Below are 23,346 nucleotides of genomic sequence, written 5' to 3'. Positions count from 1 at the left end.
ATCACTTGAGGTTAGGAGTTTGAGACCAGCCTGGCCAACATGATGAAACCCCATCTCTACTAAAAATACAAAAATTAGCAGGGCGTGGTGGCACACACCTGTTAATCCCAGCTACCGGGGAGGCTGAGGCACAAGAATCACTTGAACTCGGGAGGCGAAGGTTGCAGTGAGCCGAGATCGTACCACTGCACTCCAGCCTGAGTGACAGAGCAAGACTCTCTCTCAATAAAATAAATAAAATACTACATTCAAAGCGTCTGATAGAACCTTCTAAAGAGCTCCTCCCGGGCCATAGGCCTTGGTCGATGGTCCTCAATAAGACTTCTAAGTGACACTAACTTTAATTATTTAAAAACTTACTTTTATTCTTTAGTTGACATTCCCAAATTGTTATTATGGCTTTTTCTCCTAGACAAAGTCCAAAATGACATTTTCTGGCCTGGGGGCGATAGCAGGGCGACATTTGGCCACAGTATCTGGGAGGGAAGTTTCCACATCCGCGGCAGCTGTCTAGACTTCTGATCCCCAGTGGGGAAACACAGGCTCTGAATAGGAGTGTGAAGGCGTCAGACCCTCCCAGGAAGGTGGTCACAGAGCCAAGGAGATAGGGAAGGTAGCCACTGAAGCCCCTGAGATTTTGTCTGACATTTGGGAAAACTGGGGCCCTGAGAGACTGGGATTTCACCCTGGCTCTCCTGAATCTTTTATGTAGTATTGTCACCAACCTTGCATTTTAATAGCCTCCACTCCCAGGTAGGGCAGCAATTCTTGCTATTTACCAGGCCCAGCTATTGACAATAAGAGAGATCTGTCCTCTCAAAAGCAGTTCAAAATGTCTCCTGTCTAAACTAGATTAGCAAAACCCAGAAGGTCTTCTGGACTCAGGATTAGAGATGAGAATGGGCCACGTGTGTCAGAACAGGCAATTTGGCCGGGCACAGTGGCTCACACCTGTAATCCCAGCACTTTAGGAGGCTGAGGCAGGCGGATCACAAGGTCAGGAGTTCGAGACCAGCCTGGCCAGCATGGTGAAACCCTGTCTCTACTAAAAACACAAAAATTAGCCAGGCGTGGCGGTGGGCACCTGTAATCCCAGCTACTTGGGAGGCTGAGGCATGAAAATCACTTGAACCTGGGAGGCGGAGGTTGCAGTGAGCCAAGATCGTGCCACTGCACTCCATCCAGCCCGGATGACAGTACGAGACTCCGTCTCAAAAAAAAAAAAAAAATTTCTGCCTGTGAGCTGGGGAAGATGTGTGTCCTCCACCTTACCCTGCAGCATTCACTGAGGGCCACACGTGCTGACCCTAACAATTGCTGCAGACCCTAACAATTGCTGGGCCATTCAATACCTGAGCATGAGCCAGCAAGAGATGATGTGAACTGGCTCTTCTTCTGTGTGTGGGTAGACAAGTTCCTTACCTTTGCTGGCCTCAGTTTTCTCATACGTGAAATGTGGATGCCACTCTTCCTCCCTGCAGGGGTTGTGGTGGTGCTCTAGAAAACACAACTTGCCTTCCTCTCCGTGCCTGCCCTTTCTCCAGCATGCTCAGAGAGTGCAAAGGATTTGCCAAAGAACAGTCATTTCCTGTTTTTTGTTTGTTTGTTTTTGAGACAGCATCTCACTCTGTTGCCCAGGCTGGAGTGCAGTGGCTATGATCATGGCTCACTGCAGCCTCAACATCCCTGAGCTCAGGTGATCCTCCCACCTCAGCCTCCCAGGTAGCTGGGACTACAGGCATGCACCACCACACCAGGCTTTTTTTTTTTTTTTTTTGTAGAGGCGGGGTTTCACCAAGTTGCCCAGGCTGGTCTCGAACTCCTGGGCTCAAGGGATCCACTTGCCTTGGCCTCTCAAAGTGCTGGGATTCCAGGCATGAGCCACTGTGCCCAGCCAGTCATTTCTGTTTTAAAGGGGGAATAAATGGCATGCTCAGGAGTTTCCAAGGCGTGGACTGGAGGCAGCCTTGCGTTGTTGGGGATCTTCTTGAGGAGGGAGGGGTTCCAGGAAGCTGCAGGGTGGGCAGCCCTTGGGAATGGCTCCCCTCCTAGTGAGCCCAGAGGCCTAAGGAGGGGTTGTGGGGGTGGGTACAGAGGGACTTGGATCTAAAGCAGGAATAACAAGAGGGCTAAAGCTCCTTCTGCAGTTGCCTCCATTACCATCAACACTGTCCTCAGCACCTATCCTGAGGCTCCCCCAGGGGCAGTGGCACTCACTCCCCACGTGAGCAAGTGAAAATCAGACTCAGTCCCCTCAGCATCACTGCTACATGCAAAATCTCCACCTGTCCCAGCCGCCCCGCCTTGCCATGCAAGCTCAAATGCCACCCCTAGAAATTCCCAAACATCTTCAGCTCTCAGTCAGGGATCACTGATCATAAGGATCATAGATCCCTTAGGGCTAAGGCAAATAGCAGCAATAATGATGTGGACATATATTGGGTCTTACAACGTGCCAGTTCTAAGCATTAGACAGGTATTGATTCATTTAATCCTCACATCCACACTGTAAGTTGGTTACTACTGTTTACCTCATTTTACATATGAGGAGATCAGGCACAGATTTAGTAACTAACACAATGTCACACCACTAGCAACTTAAACTCATTGAAGTGAGAACAAACAGGAGATTAAACATAGCCAGAGGATGAAGACGGACAGGAACAGAGGTTACCACTAGCTCTTGGTCTCCTTGGTCCATTTCTGCTCTTTCTCTGCCGGCTTTGTTCTTCTGCTTGTGTCCAGCTCAACACAGTCACCCCAAACCGCAGTCTACAGGGTTTTCCAGTTCAGGTACCCACCATCTCCTAACTTGTTCCTAATTCATGGAATAGAGAATCTGACAGGAGAGTCAGCTCCGTCCGGTGGTGTGCTGGTATAAGTCTAGCAGTTGACTGGGGAAAAAGAAAGCCCTGATTTATAGTGTTGGCCAATATCCATGGTGTAAATCCCACCATGGCTGATTTCAAGCTACCAGTACTCCCTGAATGCAGAGCTTGGAAGAGGTGTGCACAATTTTCTCACATGAATCAGGACAGCCATTATGCACCACTGGCTGCACCTATGTATCAAGTCAGAGTCAGGTGTCCACCCCTGGCCAATCGGCTGTGGCTGCAATGGGGTCATGTGACACAAATATGGCTGCCAGAGCCCATCCTTTCATGGCAAAGCAGGCTATGGGAGGTCAATTTCAGAGAAAGAGATGAGGCCCCTGAGATTACTGAAAACATGCTGGTTCTTGGCTACCACACATCCATTTCCTCTTCTGATAGTAACACACTCTGGTTTCCTGTTAGGGAACCTCTTGTGCTTCAGAAAGTAAAGAAGGTGAGGGCTTCACCCTCTACTCCAGGCTTAGAGCATGGGCCCTAGGCCCAAGCCAAACAAGCACACAACATGATGCAGTTAGAACCAGGAAGACCCAATTAGACTTTTGCTGGGTGCTATGGTTTGAATGTGTCCCCCCAAAAAAACATATGTGTTGGAAACAACCCCCAGTGCAACAGTGTTAGGAGTTGGAGCCTAGTGGGAGTTGTTGGGCCATGGGGGCTCCACCCTCATGAATGGATTAATGCTGATTATAAAAGGATATGAGGCTTCGAGTTCCATTTTTCTCACTCTCACCCTCTTTTTGAGATGGAGCTTGTTCTGTCTCCCAGTCTGGAGTGCAAATGGTGCAATCACGGCTCCCCACAGCCCTGACCTCCCAGGCTCAAGCAGTCCTCTCACCTCAGCCTCTCAAGTAGCTGGGACTACAGGCGCATGCACCACCACACCTGGCCAATTTTCTTTTTCTTTTTTTTTGTGGAGACAAGGTCTCCCTATGTTGCCCAGGCTGGTCTCAAACTCCTGGACTCAAGTGATCCTCCTGCCTTGGCCTCCCAAAGTGCTGAGATTACAAGCATGAGCCACCAAGCCTGGCCTCACCCTCTCTTGCTCTTCTGCCTTCTGGCATGAGATGACATGGCATGAAGGCCCTCACCAGATGCTGGCACCATGCTCTTGGACTTCCCAACCTCCAGAACTATGAGACTGGAATTTATCATGAACAGAATGAAATTTCTGCTCATTATAAATTACTGAGTTTGTGATATCCTGTTATAGCAGCATAAAACAGATGAAGACACTGAGGCTTTTGTCAGAGAGACAAGAGGCTTGATTGCTGGAACCCTGGGGACTGAGAGACTAGAGCTGCTGACCCCACAGGCGCCTCAGGCTGAAGCTGACTCAGAACAGAGTGGAGAGCTGGAGACACATCCTTTGAGCCCTGAAGCTGGCCTGACCACTGTCCTGTTACATAAGCCAATACACCCTTGTTTGGATTGGACTTTCTATCACTTGCAGCAAAGTCTTGACACATGAGGACTGTGAGGACTCAGGGAAACGAGTTCGAACCAATGATGACCTCCATGGTAGATGACCTCCATGATGACCTTCCATGGACAGTGGAAGCACTGTCCCCCTCACAGTGCTTCCACAGGGCCAGACATGATAAGCTTTTGGGGATTTTATTACTAAATTTCCTTCCTAGGCAGTCAAAACATTGACTCCTATGGGGAAAAAACAATGTATGACAAGGATGTCTTGGACTCCCCCTCCAATCACTAGAATCACTTCCACAAATCAGGCACTCATGATGGACCCCCCCCCCACATAGGTGGGGTGCCCCCTCAGGGAGCAGTGGAAGTGAGACTTATTGGTGGACCTAGTATATCCAAGAAGGCTCCAGAACTAGGCAATGCTGGGTCAGTTTATGTCACTGCCACTATACTGCAGCATGATCCTTAGCAAAGGGCCTCTCTTGGTTTGCTGCCCACTTCTTAGGGAGTTGTGAGGCAATCAACATAAAGCACTCAGTTCAGCACCTGGAGTGAGGCCAGCCCACAGTGAGAGGCCACTTTCTTCCTTCTCCAAGTCTGGGGGGCGGGGGAGGGGAGAGGAGCAATGGAAAGGTGCCCCCCAGCCCTGCCCTCGCACAGAGCACGCCAAACACCACCGCCACCCGGGTGCAGGTACAGTTTATTCTTCACAACAGAGAAATACAAAGAGCAGAGGGTTTGTAATTCCTTTGTTTCTTGCCCCCTTTAGTGTTTTCCCCCCACATTTGATTTTCATTTGCTCCCCACTCCCTTTTTTAAATAGAATGCAAACTACCTTCCTGAAGTGTCTGAGGGGCACCTGCCCTCACCTCCCTGCCTCCAAGATGCAGACTGAGAAGCCAACAGACTGTTTTTTCTTTTTTAATAAGGTAACTAGTTCTAAATATGGTGGCCTGGAGGTCCCATAGAAAAAGCAAAGGGGTGTTAACAGTATGTATAACAGCGTATTTACAGGGAGTAACATGCGGACAAAAAGCTACAATACTGAGTATCAGACGACGCAAGTCAAACAAAGGGCCGGGGGTGGGGGCAGAGAACCCCATGGGCAAAGAAACCCCAGGAAACGTTAAACTGGTAAATCAATGGCGAGTTAAGGCTTAAAAAGTGTATAAAAATAACACAGTTAATATTCAAAACGGAACTCCAGATACAGAATATATAGATGAGTTTCTGTCTAGTTTTCTTTTTTTTCCCGGGGGGATGTAGGGGGCTTCTCTGGGCTCTGTACATGGTTCCTATATACACCGACACGCATGGCTTTCAGATTGGGGTGTGTCTGTGGGGGCTGGGGGCAGGGTCTGCTCCTGGGACCTGCCTCCCCGGGGATCCCTTCCCTGCTGAGGGGCCTAGGGCCTCGGCTGGGGATTCCCACTCCATGGCAGGGAAGACAAATAACCCCTCCCTGGGCACTGCCCCCATCTGGAGGAAATTCTGGAGGGAGGTCCCAGATCCAGGCCCACTCCCTCCCCATCCCCCTGCCCACAGTCTGGGATGGTGGGAGAGGTAGCCGAAAGGTTTCCTGGCCAGCACCGAGGTAGACTGGGGTGGTCTTCAGGGCAGCAGGGGAGGGCCAGGTCTTACCCAGCCCATCCCCACCCCATTTCCCTGGGCCCGCCACCCAGCCCATCACTGCACCCTTTGGTCCTGTGGATCTCCCACCCCTCTCGTTTCTGCCTCCTGAAGCTGCCGCACCCCTCTGCTCAGTGATGCCCAGGGCACAGCTCGAGAGGTGCGAGCCAGGCACTCAGGGGCGAAGGGCTCACTCCGGCTGCTTCCTGCCCCTCCCACCTGGGGGTCCCCTTTGCAGTCCAGAAACCTAGGCCCGAGCCTTCCCTCAAGACCTGAGGCCATGGCAAGAGAAGGTCCCACATTGCCCTCTGGTTCTCTGCGTCCATCTGTCCGATTCTTTAAATTTCTCGGTCTTAGCAGCACCAACTTCCTGGCCAATAAATATCTTTTCTGTTATTTCCAAAACAAACTTAAAAAAAAAAAACGAAAAAAAAAAAAACAGTGAAGCAAGTGAAGGGTGGGGAACAAAAAGAAAACTCAACAGAGAGGTTCAAAGTGCTCTGAGATCGTCTTTGGATGCCACCAAAACAGTCCAGAATCTTGCAGTTGGCCTGGCCGCCCCCGGACTGGACCAGGCAGGGCTTCTGCGGACCAAGCTTTCTGGAAGATTGGGAAGGTCGTGAGAGAGCTTGGTGGTTCCTGGAGGGCCCCCGGAGGGAGCTGGGGCCTGGTGCTGCCTGGGTCTGTGTCTGCCAGTGGGCCGGGTGGGGCGGCGCCTCCAGTGGGCTCAGATGAGAGAGATTCGCACCGGGATGCCGGGGGACTCCGTCCTCTGGGGCGAGTGATGGCTCACCAGGTGCTCCACCACCGTGTGTTTGGACATGTGCTTCATCAGGTAGGTCTCCTGTGGGCAGGGATGAGATTCAGAACAGGGAACCACCAGCAAGGGAGGGAGAAGAGGCTGCAGTTCCCACCAGCAGCCACTGGAGGGCTCTTGGTAGGCGGTTCAGAGGGTGGAGGACAGCCACAGTTTTGCAGGGTCAGATGGGCGTCGGCCATTGGTTCTAGAGACACTGCACTGCTGCCAGTATGAGTGCTGGCTGGAGAGCTCACCCCTCAGCAATGCCCACCTGTGGCTCTCCAGGGCCAGGCCCCCAGGCCCTTGCCACCTGGATGTAGCTGGGTATACTGGCTGAACCTCAGCCCTGTCTGCCAGGTGAAGCACTGTGCCTGCATCTGGCTGGTGATCCCAGTGACAGTGAGGCAGCAGGACTGGGTCTGAGCCTAGCTCTGCTCTTTCTTAGTGGTGAGAACTTGGACAAGTCATCTTGTCTCTCTGAGCCTCAGTTTCCTCCTCTGTAAGCAGGCATAGGGGAGGAACAACCTCAACAGGTTGCTGTGGTGACAAAGATCAAGCCCTTAGCATGGAGTAAGGGTTGAAGGGTCCACTCCTGCCCCAGTCTCTACATTTCCTTTCCTTCCTTTTCTTAAGGTCTCACTGTGTCGCCCAGGCTGGAATGCTGTGGCACAATCACAGCTCACCACAGCCTCAACCTCCTGGGCTCAAGCAGTTCTCCCACCTCAGCCCTCCAAGTAGCTGGGACTACAGGTGGGTACTATCATGTCCTCCACTGGCTCTGCTGGATCTGACCTGAGGCACCAGGACTGGGTAGGTGAGGTTGTGACCCAGGGCTCACTGCAGGCCCAGAAGCCCTCACACTAAGCCACATCCTTCCAATCGCCTTTGCCAGAAGCAGAGGCGGTACTCCCACCTGCCACTCCTTGACTTCAGACCTCAATATGCTCAGAACCCAGCAGAGGAAGCCCTCAAATGTGGCGGCAACATGCTATCCAATACCAGAGGGAAGCAACCTGCAAATTCCTAGCTAGGAAACTATTCTTCAGTGAATAAATAACAAAGAAAAAAAGTGGGGGTAAGGGGACCTAGAGATTAAAAGATCTACTGAGCTACTACGATGCAGGAATCTTATTTGGATCTTGATCTAAAAAGAATAATGTAGGCTGGGCACGGTGGCTCATGCCTATAATCCCAGCACTTTGGGAGACTGAGGCGGGCGGATCACCTGCGGTCAGGAATTCGAGACCAGCCTGGCCAACATGGTGAAACCCCGTCTCTACTAAAGATACAAAAACATTAGGTGGCCATAGTGGCACATGCCTGTATTCCCAGCTACTCGGGAGGCTGAGGCAGGAGAATCGCTTGAACCTGGGAGGCGGATGTTGCAGTGAGCTGAGACTGTGCCACTGCACTCCACCTGGGTGACAGAGCAAGACTCCGTCTCAAAAAAAAAAAAAAAAAGAGGAATCATGTAAATACACCAAATCATGGCATTCGTGACACAAATGAAAATGTCAATGCTGAACGGGTATTTGAGTATCTGATGATGATAAGGACTTTGGTTAATTACTTTTTGATATTCCAAAGGTATTGTGGATATGCTCAAAAAAGGAGTCTTTATCAGAGAGATAAAGTGCAATTTTTAGAAATAGTATGATGTCTGGATTGTACTTCAAAAAATAGGAGTATGGATGAGGCAGGATTGGTTGATGGTGTAGGAGGTTATGGAAAACTTGAGCCTTGGAGAGAGGCAGGGACTGACTGGAGATCAGCTAGCCAAGCGAGGGCTCCTGCTCACCCCTTTGGAGCCCTTTTCCCTGCAGATTCTGTCCTCTTCGCCTCCTGACCCTCCTCTGCCCTTTGAACTCCAGGGAAGAATAAATGTTACAGACTCAGCACTTAGCAAGTGGCAGCCCTGCCCGGCACCTGACAAGTACTGCCAACAACCCCACCTATGATCCATGAACAGCCTCCAGCCAGAGTGACCTTGCAAAAATACCTTCCCTGCCAGGCACAGTGGTGCACACCTGTAGCCCCAGCTACTCTGGAGGTTGAAGCAGGAGGATCCCTTGAGCCCAGGATTTTGATTCCAGCCTGGGCAACATAGCAAGACCCCGTCTCTAAAATATACCAAAAAAAAAAAAAAAAAACCCTTCCTGACAGTCCCCTCCCTGTAGCTTCCCATTCCACCTGAAAAAATATCCAAACTTTTCTAACAGAGCCCCAAGGCCCCAACTGACCTAATTTCCTTTGAGTTCTTGTAACGTGCCAAGTTTGTTACCCCTCAGGGGGTTCGCACTCAGTGTTCGCCTGCATGGAAGCTTCTTTCCCCTCTTTCTCCTCCTCATCCAATTATCCTTCAAGGCTTCACCTAAGTGTTGCTCCTCCAGGTGGTCAATCTGGACTCATCCCCCTTCCCAGCTCCATTGTGTCCTCCCTGCTGTCTTTCAAAACACACTTTTATCACAGTGGTTCTCAATTGAGGTGATTTTGCCCCCCAGGGACAAAGAGCCAGGATGAGAACCCAGGAGTGGCAGGGACAAAAGGAGCTCCCAGGGAGGACACAGAGGGACAGAGCTTCAGGGCCATGCTGTCCCCCAGGATGCAGGACTCCAGAATGCAGGACGGCATGGCCCTGCAGCTCAGCCCCTCTGTGTCATCCCTGAAGACATTTTTTGGCTGTCACCACTTGGGGAGCGGTTGCTACTGGCATCTAGCGGATGGAGGCCTGGAATGCTGCTCAGAGCCCTGCCACGTGCAGGCCAGCGCCCACAGTGGAAAGGTCCGGCCCAAATGTCCATCTGGACTAGGGCCGAGAGTCTCTGCTTTACAGCAGCTACACAATTTCCCGTCAAACAGTTACGTGTGTACTTGTTTAATACTTGTCTCCAACAGTTCTTAATTTCCCTGGGGACAAAAAATAGATCTGTCTGGCTCATCCCAATGCCCGAGCACCAGGCAGAAGTGTTTAGTAAAGACTGAGTGAATAAATAATGGTACTAGCTCAGGTTGATTTGGCACCACTCTGCCAGCCAACAGCCCTGTGAGTTCATCCATTTGACAGATGAGGAAACTGAGGCTCAGTGACCTCTATGTCGGGGATACGGGGTCTGTTAACTAGAATATTAGATCAAACAGAAGCACACACTCAAGCGATTCGCCTGGGGGTGAATGGTATTTCTGGGTGCCAAAAGGCCCTCGTTTGGGGAAATTCCCACCCAGGGACGGGAGCTGAATGCTCTGAGCTTTCCGGGCTGCTCAGGCCTTTCCTGAGATGAGGGTGGCTATGGGCCATGTCACTGCGCCACCTTGTGGCCACAATGGGGGTTGCAGCTTCCTGGGTGACAGGAAGGCGCTTCTCTCTGTAGCTCTGCGGAGCAGGTGAAAAGCCTCCTGCCACTGCTGTGAGTACTCCAGGGCCTCGGAGACTCAGGCTAAAGGTGAGCAGGAGGCTAGGGGCTTGGTCAGGGGTAGCTGAAACCAGAAGTGGGAAGCAAAAGCTCTGGTTCTCCCCTTCCCTGTGATCTCAGGGTGTCACTTCCCTTCTCTAGGCCTCAATTTGTCTGGAAAATGGGAAGAGTCGACACAGATCTGACAATGGGGAAGCAACTGAGGCCTGGAAGACGAAGTGGCTCCCCCGGGGCAGGGCACAGGCCGACCGGCACTCACCGAGGTGTAGGCCCGCCCACACATGCTGCAGCAGTAGGCCTTGGCGTGCTTGATGGCGTGGGCCGAGAGGTGGATCTGCAAAGAAGCGGAGTCCGAATAGGCCCGGTAGCAGTTGGGACACTTGTAGGGCTTGTCCTTGTTGTGCTGGCGCTGGTGAGACTGTAGGGGCACAGCAGGGGGTCAGGAGAGGAACAGGGCTCCCTCACCCCACCCCCTTCCTACGCTTCCTTGTGGGGGTGGGTGGGGGGGCACCAGAGCACCTGGTGGGCAGGAGGCAGGCAGGCACTCACCTGGAGGTTGGAGAGCTGAGTGAAAGCCTTCTCGCAGCCAGGATGTGGGCACTTGTAGGGTCTGTCGCCTGTGTGGATTCTGTAATGGGCAGCCCAGTAAGGTCGAAGTCCCTGACACACACCCCAAGACCGCTCCAGTTCCCAAGTCCTTACTCTGGCCCCTAAGCCTCTCGGTCCCTACCCTGCCCATGCTCCCCAAGGACCAAGAGTGAGCCCAGGCAAGAGCTGGGGACTTCAACGGCCATGGCTCTTCCTTCCTTCTCTGGCCTCCACTGCCAGTCTGACCAGAGCCTCCTACTTCCCACAGGTCCCAGCTGTCCCCAGCCCACCACCAGAGCCCTTGCAGCAACCCAGTGCAGGCCTCGGAGAGGGCCTGATTTGGCTGCCCCTCTCTTTGAAAACCCCACACTACGGACCACATATTGCAAAGAACACAGATGCACAGCTTTGTCGGGACCTTCCCTGCCCACCCAGCCTCCTTCCCTAAGAAGAAGGAGACATCTCCCTCTAATTGGCCCCAGACACTTATTTCCTGTCCCTACCCCATGTCAGGCACATCTCCGTGACAGCTGCATGGTCACCCCAGTAAATGGGAGAATGTGGGACAGCATGGCCCTGAAGCTCAGCCCCTCTGTGTCCTTCCTGAGAGCTCCTTCTGTCCCTGCCACTCCTGGGTTCTCATCCTGGCTATTAACCAGCTGGGTGACCTTGGACAAACCACTGAGCATCAGTTTCCTCATCTGCAAAATGGGTATAAAAATACAGTTCCTATCTCATCGGGCTTTGTGAAGATAACATCAGATAATGCATGTAAAGGGCTTAGCCTAGTGTTGGTACAAAGTAAGCACTCAACGTTTGCCAGTTATCGTTATTCATTCACATTCATTACATTGGGTACCCATGCCCCAGGCACTGTGCTAGGTATTTGGAATATATCATGAACAAAACAGACAAAAGCCACTGCCTGGAGGAAATAAGCAACAAGCGTGAAATAAGTAAATCACATGTAGAAGGTAGTAAGTTCTGTGGGAAAAACAACAAGATGGGGAGACCATGAGTGACGGGAAGGAGGGATACAGTTTTAAACGGAGATAAGGGCCTCATGAGGAAGGTGACACTGGGGCAGTGACTTGAGGGCTGATGACCCTGTACCTGCCCAACAGCCCAGGTGAGGATGGAGCTGTGGACTGGGTGATGATGTCCACAAATGGAGCTCAGCAGCCTGGCATGCACTAATAGTGGCCTTCCCTGCTTTCCACACTCATGCCTTTGCACCATCTCCCTGGGCGTGTCTTCAAGCATCTGTTTGGGCAAATCTGCTGTACCAAGCAGGTGAGCAATGAAATGCCAGCTGGGCCTGCACCTTGTTTGCCTAATTTGTTGAGGAACAGAAGTGGAGGGGAATATCCAGATTTTATCAAAAGGGTGTCCACTCCTTCCTTCCAAGGCCCCAGCCCCTCTCACTGACTGGGTTTGCCATCAGCCCATCAACAAACTCATCAAAGAAACTAAAGCCCCTCTGGCCAGGCCCAGTGTTAGACTTAGAGACACAGGGTTGAGTAAGAAACACTCCCTGCTACCAATAAGCCCATTGGCTGCCATTATAAACACTGACAAAGTCCAAATTCCTTATATGTCATTCAAGCCTTCACCAGGTGGTCCAGCATCCCCTCCCTGCTCGTACGCACCCTACGTCCTGGTCAGATAATGATTCTTCCCTGCCAGCCATGTCTGATAAGTCTCCCCACACCTCTGCTATGTCTGCATCCTCAGCACTGGGACCTCCCCAGCTCTTTTGCCCAGTAAATGTCAGCTCATCCTTCCAGATTCGTTGGCGAGTGGGGCTCTGCGGAATCTCCCGAGCGAACTGCTCACCCCACAGGCTTCCAGAGCACATTCCTCACCACAGAGCCAACCCCACTGGACTCTCAAGGCCTCCCACACTTCTCTCCCCTGCTAGATGGGGAATCCCGAGGGCAGGGACGGGCCCCAGTCTCAGGATCAAGGCCTGGGGTCTGGCCTTCCACAACAGCTGTGCCAAGAGAAGCTGGGCTGACCCAGTTCTGAGCACCCCTGCACATTTCTGGATGTCACATGTTTCAGGATCCCATCCCAGGCTGCTGCACCGTCTCTACAATGGAAGGACCTTAAGGGTCATCTGGACCAACTCCGCCTGAGGCCAGCATCCTCTTCACTTCATCCCATCCTCATTCTCTCTAGGGCTGGGGAATTCGTTTACTTAGGCTCCCCATCACCTAATCCTTAAGGGTCCCCAGGACTCACACTGCCTTTGTTTTAAACCCCACAACCAAGTCCAGGACCAGACGGATTCACAGCCGAGTTCTACCAGAGGTACAAGGAGGAGCTGGTACCATTCCTTCTGAAACTATTCCAATCAATAGAAAAAGAGGGAATCCTCCCTAATTCATTTTATGAGGCCAGCATCATCCTGATACCAAAGCCTGGCAGAGACACAACAAAAAAAAGAGAATTTTAGACCAATATCCCTGATGAACATCGATGCAAAAATCCTCAATACAATACTGGCAGACTGAATCCAGCCACACATCAAAAAGCTTATCCACCATGATCAAGTGGGCTTCATCCCTGGGATGCAAGGCTGGTTCAACATACGCAAATCAATAAATGTAATCCAGCATATAAACAGAACCAACGACAAACACCACATGATTATCTCAATAGATGCAGAAAAGGCCTTTGACAAAATTCAACAGCCCTTGTTGCTAAAATCTCTCAATTAATTAGGTATTGATGGGACGTATCTCAAAATAATAAGAACTATTTATGACAAACCCACAGCCAATATCATACTGAATGGGCAAAAACTGGAAGCATTCCCTTTGAAAACTGGCACAAGACAGGGATGCCCTCTCTCACCACTCCTATTCAACATAGTGTTGGAAGTTCTGGCCAGGGGAATCAGGCAGGAGAAAGAAATAAAGGGTATTCAATTAGGAAAAGAGGAAGTCAAATTGTCCCTGTTTGCAGATGACATGACTGTATATCTAGAAAACCCCATCGTCTCAGCCCAAAATCTCCTTAAGCTGATAAGCAACTTCAGCAAAGTCTCAGGATACAAAATCAATATGCAAAAATCACAAGCATTCTTATACACCAATAACAGACAGAGAGCCAAATCATGAGTGAACTCCCATTCACAATTGCTTCAAAGAGAATAAAATACCTAGGAATTCAACTTACAAGGGATGTGAAGAACCTCTTCAAGGAGAACTACAAACCAGTGCTCAATAATAAATAAATAAAAGAGGATACAAACAAATGCAAGAACATTCCATGCTCACGGATAGGAAGAATCAGTATCGTGAAAATGGCCATACTGCCCAAGGTAATTTATAGATTCAATGTCATCCCAATCAAGCTACCAATGACTTTCTTCACAGAATTGGAAAAAACTACTTTAAAGTTCATATGGAACCAAAAAAGAGCCTGCATTGCCAAGTCAATCCTAAGCCAAAAGAACGAAGCTGGAAGCATCACGCTACCTGACTTCAAACTATACTACAAGGCTACAGTAACCAAAACAGCATGATACTGGTACCAAAACAGAGATATAGACCAATGGAACAGAACAGAGCCCTCAGAAATAATGCCACACATCTACAACTATCTGATCTTTGGCAAACCTGACAAAAACAAGAAATGGGGAAAGGATTCCCTATTTAACAAATGGTGCTGGGAAAACTGGCTAGCCATATGTAGAAAGCTGAAACTGGATCCCTTCCTTACACCTTATACAAAAATTAATTCAAGATGGATTAAAGACTTAAATGTTAGACCTAAAACCATAAAAACCCTAGAAGAAAACCTAGGCATTACCATTCAGGACATAGGCATGGGCAAGAACTTCATGTCTAAAACACCAAAAGCAATGGCAACAAAAGCCAAAATTGACAAACGGGACCCAATTAAACTAAAGAGTTTCTGCACAGCAAAAGAAACTACCATCAGAGTGAACAGGCAACCTACAGAATGGGAGAAAATTTTTGCAATCTACTCATCTGACAAAGGGCTAATATCCAGAATCTACAAAGAACTCAAACAAATTTACAAGAAAAAAACAAACAACCCCATCAACAAGTGGGCAAAGGATATGAACAGATACTTCTCAAAAGAAGACATCTATGCAGCCAAAAGACATATGAAAAAATGCTCATCATCACTGGCCATCAGAGAAATGCAAATCGAAACCACAATAAGATACCATCTCACACCAGTTAGAATGGCAATCATTAAAAAGTCAGGAAACAACAGGTGCTGGAGAGGATATGGAGAAATAGGAACACTTTTACACTGTTGGTGGGACTGTAAACTAGTTCAACCATTGTGGAAGTCAGTGTGGCGATTCCTCAGAGATCTAGAACTAGAAATACCATTTGACCCAGCCATCCCATTACTGGGTATATACCCAAAGGATTATAAATCCTGCTGCTATAAAGACACATGCACACGTATGTTTATTGCGGCACTATTCACAATAGCAAAGACTTGGAACCAACCCAAATGTCCAACAATGGTAGACTGGATTAAGAAAATGTGGCACATATACACCATGGAATACTATGCAGCCATAAAAAATGATGAGTTCATGTCCTTTGTAGGGACATGGATGAAGCTGGAAACCATCATTCTCAGCAAACTATCGCAAGGACAAAAAACCAAACGCCGCATGTTCTCACTCATAGGTGGGAATTGAACAATGAAAACACTTCGATGCAGGAAGGGGACCATCACACACCGGGGCTTGTTGTGGGGTTATACCTAATGTAAATGACGAGTTAATGGGTGCAGCACACCAACATGGCACATGTATACATATGTAACAAACCTGCACGTTCTGCACATGTCCCCTAGAACTTTAAGTATAAATAAAAAAATAAAAAAAAACCCACCCAGCCACAGTGGCCTTGCACTAGCTCCTCCAGCACTGAGCCCTTGCCCACCTCCAATCCTTTATCCAAGCTGTTCCCTCTACCAGGAACACCTGTTCCTCAGTTAACACCTGGCTAAAACCCAACTCCTGATCTGAGCATACAAGTCCCTTTATCAGGGCAGCCTTCCCTGACCCCCTAGACCAGGTCAGGCTCCCTGCGGCCCACCTCGCAGGAAACAAAGACATCGGCTTCCCAGAAGTCTCTGCATGGGTACTTATTTTCTCCATGTCTGGTCACTGTGTTCCTTCAGAGGAACTCCCTTGGGCTCATTCCCCACCATCACCCCAGCGCCTGGCATGGGCTCAGCACAGAGGGGATTCCATAAATAGACACAGACTGAATGAAGGAAAGCAAGTTCTTTCTCCCTGAAGTCAATCATTGACAAGAGAAATAGGTTCCACATTATCAGCGACTTCCATGCTCTGGGTGTATTTCATGAGGGTTTGCTCACTGACTGACCGACAGTCCTCCAGTGGATTCAGCTCCTTCCTCAGGAACCAGCCAAGCCCTCTTGACCAGTAAGTTGCCCCTCTGGCCTCCTCCCATGCACGTGCAACAACTGCCCGGCCTCCCCCTTGACTCCCAGCCTCAGCCTCTCTCCGCCAGGCCTCGGCACGGCTGAAGCTGCAGGGCTCTGACCTGGTCACAGCCCAGTCTGGCAACCTCCATGGTCTCCCTCTTTTTCCAGGACAGAGTCCATATCCCCTTCCCCAGCTTGCAAGGCCCTTCACATTCTGGCCTTGGTTTCTAAGGCCTCCTCCTCTGCCACTGCGCTCCTGAGAGGAGCATCTTACCAACCTCCCCCAACACACATGCAGATGCAGCCTCCCGGCGGGCCTCGAGCCTTTGCTCATGTCGTTCTTCCTCTGACTGGGGAGGGCTGTGGACCCCTCTGTACTCAACCCAGATGATCCCCCGCAACCTCCACCTCCTACTTCCCTCTCTCAAGGAAGTTTCCACATCTGCCATCCTCCTAGGTCACAGTGGCAGGGGCCTGCCTCTGCCCGCTCCTGTGTCCCTGTGCATGGCACCCAGCATGGGGCTGGCTCAGAAAAAGCTTCAGGGAGCAACTGTTGGATAAGGAAGGACCAGGCTACCTGTTCTTTTAGCCACAAAGCTCTTGTCTTCAGTCCCTGAACTTCAAGTCAAGCCTAAGCCCTCAATTCTAACATCAGAATCCTCTCTCTGTAGGGCATCTTCCCACTAGGGGAGCACCCAGCCCCAGCTCCCACATCTGCGGCGATGGGAAGTCCACCCCTGACTCTAGGTGGTCACGCTTCTTTTTTTTTTTTTTTTTTTGAGACAGAGTCTCGCTCTATCGCCGAGGCTGGAGTGCAGTGGCACAATCTCAGCTCACTGCAACCTCCGCCTCCCCAGTTCAGCGATTATCCTGCCTCAGCCTCCCAAGTAGCTGGGACTACAGGCCTGTGCCACTGTGCTCGGCTAATTTTTTTGTATTTTTAGTAGACCACCATGGTTCAAGACCACGTCAGCCAGGCTAGTCTCAAACTCCTGACCTCAAGTAATCCACTCACCTCAGCCTCCTAAAGTGCTGGGATTACAGGAATGAGCCACCACCGCACCCGGCTGGTGGTCACTCCTCTTTAGGCAGCACAAGGAAGCTGAGCTGAAGCTAGTGGCCCTGGACTACCCCACTTCACCCCCCACTGTCCCAGTCCCACCCAGGGGCTCCAAAGACTTGCTCTTCTCTCTTGCCTGGCACTGCCATCCCCAAGTGCTTCTTCTGCAGCCTGATGCCCCAGCCCTTCCTTCTTTCTGAACTGGGCTGCTTCTTGGTGCTCTGCACTCAAATCTTGCTTCTGCCACCTCTTAGCCGGGTAACCTGGGGCAGGTGACTCTGCCTCCCTCAGCCTCAGTTTCCCCCTCTCTAAAATGGGGATAATAGACTATAAGAATTTAATGGGTGTTCATAAAATATTTTTGCAGTGTTAGTTTTTAATACATTAATTTCTATTTAAGTTAAGCAACTTATGAAAACAGAGGAAACGTATTCAATGTTTCAATAAAATTATTAAGGATTCATGAATTATCACTTTTATTTCTCAGCCATGATATGGCTTTTGGCATGTCGTGTTTTTTAACTAAAACAATGGTCATAGATATATGAAGGTTAAACATTCCTTGAGAGGATTCCCCCTCTGTGGCATTTTTCAAATTCATTATCTCTTATGAAGAAATAACAAATTCACACTGTACAGGGATTTTATGGACACCTTGTATATTAAAACACCTTAAGCAGGACCTGGCACACAGAAGTTCTTTAATAAGGAATAGTTGTCGTTGTTATTAGCATTATTATCAGACTTGAAAAAACTAAAAGGACACTTTCCCCTGCTGCAATGATCATTAGGCATGTACATAACATCACTCTGTCAGGAAAAGAAAAACAAAAACAAAACCCCTTTGCACCCTGAATAAACAGACAAATCCAGAGTCACTCTGTCTAGTTCTAGTTCCACAAATAGATAAAACTTTCAGCCATTTCCTATAACTTAACTTCCTCCCAAAACAATGGTTGGTTTGTTTGTTGTTTGTTTGTTTAGATAGGATCTCTGTCACCCAGGCTGCAGTGCAGTGGCGTGATCTCAGCTCACTGCAGCCTCTACCTCCTGGGTTCAAGGAATCCTCCCACCTCAGTCTCCTGAGTAGCTGGAGCTACAACACATGCTACCACACTCGGCTAACTTTTTAATTTTCTGTAGAGATGGGTCTCAACATGTTGCCCAGGCCAGTCTCAGACTCCTGGTCTCAAGCCCTGACTCCCACACTGTGATATCTGCAGGTACAGACGACCCTTACACATACACTAACTGCACGAGACAATGCTGGTTTTCTACCATGAACAGACTAACAAGAACAGAAAATGTTCTATTTTCTCTATAAATCCATGTGGTGTTTATTATGTAGAGGGCTGATCCTTCTGAAGCCTGGACTTGTTCAACACTTTGCAAGTCCCTCACTTTGCTTGTGCCTTCCTTTCACGCTGCAGGCCAATTAAGATGCTCCAACGCCACTCAACCGCCTCACTCCGACCATGCTCCCAAGCACAACCTTCTCAACTCCCAGGGTGGATCTTGCTTGCCCTCTTGCTAACTCTACCTCTATTGCTTGACCGGGGCTGGCTCTGTTTTGGACATGACCTTCTTTTATGCCCTTCATTAGTGGCTGTAACATTGGGAAGATGGATTTGATTATATGATCTGATGCCTGGTTCTCTGCCAAGGGACAAATAAGTAGGAAAGGGCCTCCGTCAAATAGCAGAGGACAAGGAATCTGGAATCTGGTTGTTTCTTCAGCTTTGGCTTTGTTTGTTTGTTTGTCTAAAGAATCCTGGGAGTTCTGGGCATGTGGGACACTCGCCTCTTTGCCACTGAGTTAGGACATATCAGTTTAATTATATGTGCAAGCGTCTAGTGACTTATAAACTGTCTTCCAAATGTTGATAGAATCCTCTTTTGTTGTTTGTTTGGTTTCCTGCCATTATGAACTCAAATTAGTCCAAAAGAGAGAGAGAGAGGGAAAAAAAAAATTGTGCCCTCAGGAATGGAGAATAATCCCTGAGTCAAAGAACATTCTGGCAAAATATTCTCCTCTCCTTCAAAGGCCTGTTAATTTTTTGTTGCTTTTTTTTTGGTCATGTTCTCAAATAATATTTTTAAACAAAGTCTACTTCTTGGAAAAAAAAAACAGAATTCTTCATCATTATTATCACTTGCTCTTGTGTTTATTAGCTTGCCTGTTCTGTCAACTTTGTGCTGTCGCCTTTCTCAGATCCAGGTCCCCACTCAGAAAGATAAAATTGTCAAGGTGCAAATGCAAATACAATTGCTCTTGGCATTTCCAGACGGCTGCTGGGCAACACCAAAGATTTGCTCCCTTGTTTTACAAAAGGAGGGATGCTTACAATGATTGGGTTTTGTATTCTTCTTTTTTTGTTGTTTTTTGTTTTTTTGTTTTTTGAGACAGGGTCTTGCTCTGTCACCCAGGCTGGAGTGCAGTGGTGCGATCTCAGCTCACCGCAACCTCCGCCTCCCAGGTTCAAATGATTCTCCTGCCTTGGCCTCCTAAGTAGCTGGAATTACAGGCACCCGCCACCACACCTGGCTAATTTTTGTATTTTTAGTAAAGACAGGGTTTCACCATGTTGACCAGGCTGGTCTCAAACTCCTGACCTCAAGTGATTCACCCACCTTGGCCTCCCAAAGTGCTGTGATTACAGGCGTGAGCCATGGCACCCGGCCTATGTATTCTCCATGGTTTTAATTAGCCAAACACTAGAGTGACAGCTGCCCTACAAAGTTTGTAGCGTAAGAAAGTTGGCAAATAAAAAGAGAAACTCAACCTCCCTGGGTTAATTTTATACATACATAAACATATAATATGTATAACATATAATATGTTCTTGTGCACTTTTTAAGATGGACCAAAAAAACCTAATCTAATGCACAGAGGCTGGCATAACAAGCATCAACAAAGACATTTCTTTAAGAAGATTTTGTCTCTAGATTTAGAATGCCCTAAACAATTAGTGATAATGCTTTATGGGATTAAAAGACCCTGAAGATGGGCCAGTGCGCTTGCTGCCAATAACATTTTTTTGTTGTTGGTGAGATGGGGTCTTGCTCTGTCACCCAGGCTGCAGTGCAGTGGCATGATCTCGGCTCACTGCAACCTCTGCCTCCCGGGTTCAAGTGATTCTCCTGTCTCAGCCTCCCGAGTAGATGGGACTACAGGCATGCACCACCACACTCGGCTAATTTTTGTACTTTTAGTAGAGACGGAGTTTGACCATGTTGGCCAGGTTGGTCTCGAACTCCTGACCTCAAGTGATCCACCTGTCTCAGCTTCCCAAAGTGTTGGGATTACAGGGGTGAGCCACCGTGCCAGCCTACCATGTTTTTAATTTGAAAAATTGATCATGATTATACCTTAATAGAGGACTCCATTGTCCTCCATTGTGATATTGTTGATTATTACAATTAACTAAGCAGAATCATTTGTTCTAGTCAACAGGTCTGATTTTTACCCTCACACTTGCTTAATTAAAGGCCTCTGCTTTGAGCTAGAAAAGACAAATGCATACAGGCTGCCACGTTGACATCCTCTTCTTGACCAGACACTGCCAGAGGCCAAGGTAGGCTCCAAGAGTCCTTGCTCCAGAAGTAGATAACTTTGAAAGCAGGCTAACTAACCCAGGATCAGAGGAACAGGAATTTTTCCCCAGGACTGGATGAAACTGATTTCACCCTTAATGTTCTAATTTTCTAAAGGTCTTTTTTTTTCTTTATTACTGTCGCTAATCCTCAATTTAGGAGGCTGTATTCAATAAACTGGAATAAAATATTCCTAAAATGGTGCCTTCTTCCTTCTTCCAACTAACTCTTCAGAATTCTGGGGGTGAGGGTGGGAGGGGGACTATAAAAACCTAACATAGATATGAAATAATAAATCATCAAGGAAATGTTCAAATAATCATTCTATTGAAAACAACAAATGTAATTGGCCTTATCTACAAAACTACTAGGAATAATAGCTAAAAACTCTTCAAAGTACCTTTGCTGAGACCCTTTTCTTTTACGATCATTAGTTCTGTAAACAGGATCTGTAAGAATCTGTCCTCCTTCCTAACAGGATATAATTGGGTAAATCAAATTTGTAACCATGGCTGTGCCAGAAATGTCACAGTTAAAGACAAATTTCATTTAATTAGGCATGACAAGCCTGAGAGTAAGAAACAAGGACTGCACTTCAAAAGTGGGAATGAGGCCTCCCCGGGCCTCCAGGAAACCGGACTGGACCTGCTTATGGCTTGTGGAATTTCAGCCTTTAAGGTTATAAAAAGACATCAATCTCTGCTTGTTCAGAAACACTGACAAACGAAGATTCTCCAAAAAAAGGGTAACCGCCACATTACACGTTGTATAGGCACAATCTGGCAGAGGTGAATTGGATGGTTCTAGGTTCCTGATCTCTAATAATATAAAATTTTTTCACATACATACACACATACACAATTCTGGCCTGGAGGCCTTACAAAGTCTCCTAACAGAGTTAACTCTCAAGCTTTTCTATCAAATGCTCTTTAAGAACCATACAACTGGGAGGACTTTATCAATCAACACCTTGTTACATACATCTCTGTACATAAACCTGGCCAAATTTTTTAAAAATCAAAGTAGCAACAAAATCAGAAAATTGCTGAAACTAACTTACATGGTCAGACTTGTGCCTTGGGAGGCATGGTAACGAGAAAACAGACTGACACCTGGCCCTGCTGCCATTGTACCATTTTATTCTTTTATTATTTTTTTTCTTTTGAGACAGGGTCTCACTCTGTCCCCCAGGCTGGAGTGCAGTGGTGTGACATCAGCTCACTGAAGCCTCGACCTCCTGAGTTCAAGCAATCGATCCTCCCACCTCAGCCTCCCAAGTAGCCGGGACTACAGGCATGCACCATTACTCCCAGCTAATTTTGTATTTTTCTGTAGCAATGGGGTTTTGCCATGTTGCTGGTCTCGAACTCCTGAGTTCAAGTGATCAACCCATCTCAGCCTCCCAAAGTGCTAGAATTACAGGCATGAGCCACTGAGCCCAGCCTGCCATTTGATTCTTACTATCATACCCACATATCATGTCCCAAAGTCAGAGAAATAGACAAGGTAAAACATCTTGCACCCAGGGATAAAGGATTCAAAGACAATGGAGATAAACGAATAAATGACAAAAACAAAAAAAGCAAATAAAAAATAGAGCCCTTCTCATGGTGGCACACGCCTGTAATCCCAGCTACTTGGGAAGCTGAGGAGGCAGAGGTTGCAGTGATCCGAGATCATGACACTGCACTCCAGCCTGGGCAATAGAGTGAGACTCTGTCTCAAAAAAATAGAGCCCTTCTGTATAGTATTAGTCCTCAAAACAGAAAAAACCTTGAATTCTTTCTGTAAATTACAAACTCCACAACAAAAACCAGTTTTATCCCTGACTTTTACAATGCTGATATTGGCAAACACGTGACAATGCTCACACAGATGATCATCGTCATGTGAGAAAACGGTGCTGCTTCCCCTCTGAACAGAGGGACTGCAATCTTGGTAATCTTTGGCTTGTTTTTAAAAATACCAATGGTATTTTTATTTGGTGAGCCAGTCTTTCTGATGTCTATACCCTCCTGCACAAACTTTTTTTTTTTTTTTTCTCTTGAGACAGAGTTTCACTCTTGTCATCCAGGCTGGAGTGCAATGGCGCAATCTCGGCTCACTGCAGCCTCCATCTCCTGGGTTCAAGCGAGTCTCCTGCCTAAGCCTCCCAAGTAGCTGGGATTACAGACGCCCACCACCACACCCAGCTAATTTTTGTATTTTTAGTAGAGATGGGGTTTCGCCACGTTGGCCAGGCTGGTCATGAACTCCTGACCTCAGGTGATCCACCCGCCTCAGCCTCCTAAAGTGCTGGGATTACAGGTGTGAGCCACCGCACCCAGCCACAAATTTTTCTTAAAGCATTTATAGCTTTGAGTCTCCCTTTCACACACTCAACTAGACTGTATGCCCCACGAAGGCAGAGATTTTCGTCTGTTTTCTTCCTTGCTGTATCCTCAACATCTAGAATAGTGTCTGGCATAGAGTAAAAGTTTCTATAAGTATTTG

The 23,346-nt window shown here is 48.3% G+C and overlaps 1 protein-coding gene across 8 annotated transcripts in view, besides 3 other annotated features; it reads right to left on the bottom strand.

Moving 5' to 3' along the window:
- Positions 1–5,002: 5,002 nt before the first annotated feature.
- Positions 5,003–23,346, bottom strand: part of ZNF362 (zinc finger protein 362) — a 173,198-nt gene continuing 154,854 nt past the window's right edge. For 7 of the 8 annotated variants that reach the window (XM_047447108.1, XM_047447107.1, NM_152493.3 and 4 more), the window contains 3 exons: positions 10,707–10,785; positions 10,417–10,575; positions 5,003–6,792 (listed from right to left, as the gene is read on the bottom strand). In XM_047447108.1, the coding sequence (XP_047303064.1) occupies positions 6,676–6,792; positions 10,417–10,575; positions 10,707–10,785 (355 nt within the window). In that variant the 3' untranslated portion in view covers positions 5,003–6,675. The remainder of the gene's footprint in view (positions 6,793–10,416; positions 10,576–10,706; positions 10,786–23,346) is intronic. The other variant, XM_047447110.1, reaches the window with a different exon arrangement.
- Positions 5,390–6,339: an enhancer, noted in NCBI's record as "H3K4me1 hESC enhancer chr1:33764984-33765933 (GRCh37/hg19 assembly coordinates)". NCBI's record gives its function as "activates a minimal SCP1, AML or CMV promoter by ChIP-STARR-seq in naive H9 embryonic stem cells {active_cell/tissue: H9 hESC(naive)}" and the evidence as "EXISTENCE:reporter gene assay evidence [ECO:0000049][PMID:30033119]".
- Positions 6,771–6,951: a silencer, noted in NCBI's record as "fragment chr1:33764372-33764552 (GRCh37/hg19 assembly coordinates)". NCBI's record gives its function as "represses an EF-1alpha promoter that drives an FKBP-Casp9 reporter gene in an ReSE screen in phorbol 12-myristate 13-acetate-treated (for megakaryocytic differentiation) K562 erythroleukemia cells {active_cell/tissue: K562(+PMA)}" and the evidence as "EXISTENCE:reporter gene assay evidence [ECO:0000049][PMID:32094911]".
- Positions 9,916–10,426: an enhancer, noted in NCBI's record as "H3K4me1 hESC enhancer chr1:33760897-33761407 (GRCh37/hg19 assembly coordinates)". NCBI's record gives its function as "activates a minimal SCP1, AML or CMV promoter by ChIP-STARR-seq in naive H9 embryonic stem cells {active_cell/tissue: H9 hESC(naive)}" and the evidence as "EXISTENCE:reporter gene assay evidence [ECO:0000049][PMID:30033119]".

This window comes from Homo sapiens, chromosome 1 (genome assembly GCF_000001405.40).
Source record: "Homo sapiens chromosome 1, GRCh38.p14 Primary Assembly".
Taxonomy (NCBI): domain Eukaryota; kingdom Metazoa; phylum Chordata; class Mammalia; order Primates; family Hominidae; genus Homo; species Homo sapiens.
This window is presented reverse-complemented; position numbering and strand designations above follow the sequence as displayed.